This window comes from Homo sapiens, chromosome 4 (assembly GCF_000001405.40).
Source record: "Homo sapiens chromosome 4, GRCh38.p14 Primary Assembly".
NCBI lineage: Eukaryota > Metazoa > Chordata > Mammalia > Primates > Hominidae > Homo > Homo sapiens.
Window position 1 is genome coordinate 188,939,974 of NC_000004.12, and position 3,643 is coordinate 188,943,616.

General features: G+C 36.0%; 1 annotated feature.

The window, feature by feature from the left end:
• Positions 1,290 to 2,489: an enhancer, noted in NCBI's record as "P300/CBP strongly-dependent group 1 enhancer chr4:189862417-189863616 (GRCh37/hg19 assembly coordinates)". NCBI's record gives its function as "activates an origin of replication core promoter dependent on BRD2, BRD4, P300/CBP, MED14 and CDK7 cofactors, with strong dependence on P300/CBP, by STARR-seq in HCT116 cells {active_cell/tissue: HCT116}" and the evidence as "EXISTENCE:reporter gene assay evidence [ECO:0000049][PMID:35650434]".

A 3,643-nucleotide genomic window follows, 5' to 3' on the forward strand; every position in this document is an offset into this window, starting at 1 on the left:
AAACTCCTCACCCAGCTCATCAGAACACTCATTGTATTTTGTAGAATGAGTTATTGCCTGATTCTAGAATTGCACATAAAAGCCAATTAAAATCTTTAAACTAAATTTGTTGTAATTTTCTCCGTTGACCAATGGGTACACAATTCACGACCAGGATGTGGTTATTTTCTAGGTCGCTGTAGAAGAATACAACGTGGTAGAGGCCCGAGAGGGCTCTAAGGCTTGTAATGCTCTAAGGTGAAAGCTGGATTGTGGGTGTGGGGGTATATATTTTATTCTATATCAAGCTTAATATGTACATTAACAATTACCTTATTTTACATATTATTTATCTTATTATGAAGCCTATTTTGTTGTTATTTAAACTCCGATTACTATCACATGTTTTTAACATAAATGATTCTGTTAAGCACTGCATGGGCCTGCTTCTGATGTATTCAATATATGTGGCTAGAAAAAAAATTATAGATAATTTTTATAGATACTTTCTTTTTGAGCAGAAATAACCCTGAAGAGATATAAAATTCTGGACAAAATAAAGTACTGAAATTATATACTGATTCATATTTTACCCTTTGCACATTCTAGTACCATTCAAAATGTAATTGGCATAATTAATGAATAGTCTGATAGAAGCAGTATCAGCAGTAAAAGGAAATGGTTTCTTGCACTCCCTTAAAGCTCTGGCAACTCTATAAAAGTGCTGCTTGCAGAAAGGAGAGATGAAGGACCTCTGGCCTTCCCTAATGTTTGCACTTGATTGCTGTACAAAAATTATGCCTTTGAGAAAGGCTTAAGGTAGTCATAAAATTGCAACCAATCCCAAAGAATTCCAAAATTAAAACATAATCCACTCCAGAAGCATAATTAAATTAGCAATAAACCTTAGTTATATAAATCTCTACAAGAAGTGGCTTCCAAAGGCTGATTAAGAGAAATCCTACTTATAAGTGTGTTCTCCTACTTCAAAATTTTACTAGTATTGGTTTCTTAACTTCACCATTGCAGAAAACAATTTGATTCACGTTAAAGTGAGGAAGTGCTCCATTAGCTAAAGTCTACCCCTTGGAGATGGGGACTTTGGGGAGAAGGGGAGCATATACACAAAAAGTAAATGGCAGCAAGTTGCAGCTACCATATCTTCAAAAAGGAAATGGAAGGAAATCTTAGCTATTCACCTGCAATTGGTATACATTTTCTGAGCTAAAAGTGAATGATATCTTCCCCTCTACTCTTATGGAAGTCAAAATTTTTATTATTACAGCTCACTGCAGCCTCAAACTCCCAGGTTCAAGCAATCCTCCTACTTCAGCCTCTCGAGAGGGTGGGACTATAGGCACATGCCAATGTGCCCGGCTGATTTTTGTATTTTTTGTAGAGACAGGTTTCACCATGTCGCCCAGGCTGGTCTTGAACTCCTGAGCTCAAATGGTCTACCCGCCTTGGCCTCCCAAAGTGCTAGGATTACAGGCGTGAGCCATGCTGCCCAGCCAGAAGTCAATTTTTTAAAAAAAGCATCATTATCAATGGATAGCATTATCAATGCTCATTTCTTTTAAAAAATAATGGTTCCCAATACTATTATCATTTTATCTTGTGTCTTGGTTGTGCCTTTTCTTAGTTGTGGGACTTTTGGCTACATACTTAACCTCTCTAAATTTGTTTCTTCATCAGGCAAATATTAATAATGTCTAATTTTCAAAATTGTATGGTTGCAACATACAGGAAACCATTTGCTGTTTCTCAAGTCACACCTGTGGGCAAATTGAGGGAGTTGAGAGTTGAGTGTTGTTACAAATATATGCGTCTCACATGATTCACTAAATGTTTGAAAGTATTGAGTGGTAATACACCTAGTAGCTCCTGTGGCATGTACAGTCAGAGTTAATGAATATTAACTCGAAGTACTGTCCCTTGAGTGTGACTCAGCTGGTTTCCATGTCTTTGTGCACTCATTCTAACTGACTCAGACTCTCAGAGACCCAATTCGTAATTCCTAGAAGCTGAGTCTAACTGGAACAGCTTAGTCATAAAAACTGGCAGCATGGGATCATTTATATAAGCTTAAGCTCCAGATGTTTAAACCTAAGGGTGGGAAGGAAAATGGAAGTGGGATTATGGGCTGAGTACTAAACATTTACTGTAAAGTAAGTAGCAGCTGCTGAGAAAATATTCGTTGCTCTCTCTCACTTGTTATAATTCACTCAGTGGGTTTACTGTTGTTAGTAATAGATGCTATGGAAAATGTAAAATATAGAAAGGAAAATCGCTGATCTACAGGAAGTAAGTAATGAAATTAAACTAGAATATCCAAGAGTTTAGACTTTCTGTCCAGTGATTTCTCCTAAACCATACGTTCTCAAAATAACTAAAAACTATTAAAATCATTAAACAAGATTTGCCATGTGGTATGTAGGGAAGAAAATATGACTTTCATTTTTAGTTCCTAAATGTCTTCTAATTAAATTATGTATGGATTAGACATTGAAAACTGAAAAAAAATTGACTCATTTAATAATAACACAGAAAGTAAAGCAGTGTAGTGATACCTAATGCTTCTGATTATTATTGTCTTCAAGTAAATATTTTCAAGTTTTACTAATAGTTTTCTAAACAATCATTGCCCCGTTTTTGTCTATGATATGACTATATCAAGAACATTTAATGGTTTAATGAGATAAGAGTTGTCATGACTGGTGGTTATATGGTTTTGCTCTATGTCCCCACCTAAATCTCATGTCAAGTTGTAATCCCCTTGGGTTAGGGGAGGGGCCTGGAGGGAAGTGATTGGATCAAGGGGACGGATTTCCCCTTTGCTGTTCTGGTGATGGTAAGTTCTCTTGAGATCTGATAGTTTGAAAGTGTGTGACACCTCCCCTTTCTCTCTCTCTCTCTCTCTCTCTCTCTCTCTCTGGCTCTACCACGGTAAGATGTGCTTGCTTCCCCTTCCGCCATGATTGTAACTTTCCTGAGGCCTTCCAGCCATACTTCTATACAGCCTGTGGAACTGTGAGTCAATTAAGCCTCTTTTCTTCATAAATTACCCAATCTTATGTAGTTCTTTTATAGCAGTATGAGAATGGACTAATACAGAAAGGCTCATAATTTATGGTGAGTAGAATCATAAAATTTAACATCAATTATTTAGGTTTTCTAAAACTCTGATTTCTATGGATATAATTATATCCATATCGTAAAATTGAACATGAAAATCTTTATGCAGTAAACTGGTTTTGCAATGGCTCAACAGTAAAAACAAGTATTTTCTTATCACTTTAAAAAATCAAGTTTCGATGTTAGGATGAAAACAAACCAAAGGAAAAAGAAGATAGGAACACACTCAGGTAAACCAGTAAAATCAGTTACAAGAATCAGCAACATGTTTTAAGTTAAATAGATATTTTCATTCAGCATTTAACCAAGGAAACAAAAGAGAAATTGGCTATGTATTTGTTTGTTTTTGATTCAGTTATGACCACCTCTGTGTTAAGTGCTGTATCTGATGTTGGAGACGCAAAAATAAAAAAGACAAAGCTTGTGCCTTCTTCCTTTATGATAGAAAAGGAAAAGGGAGGAATGAGAATTGGCGCTAGTCAGTTTATCATCTCCTGCTACGAAGTTGAAAGGTTCCATTTCCGAGCTT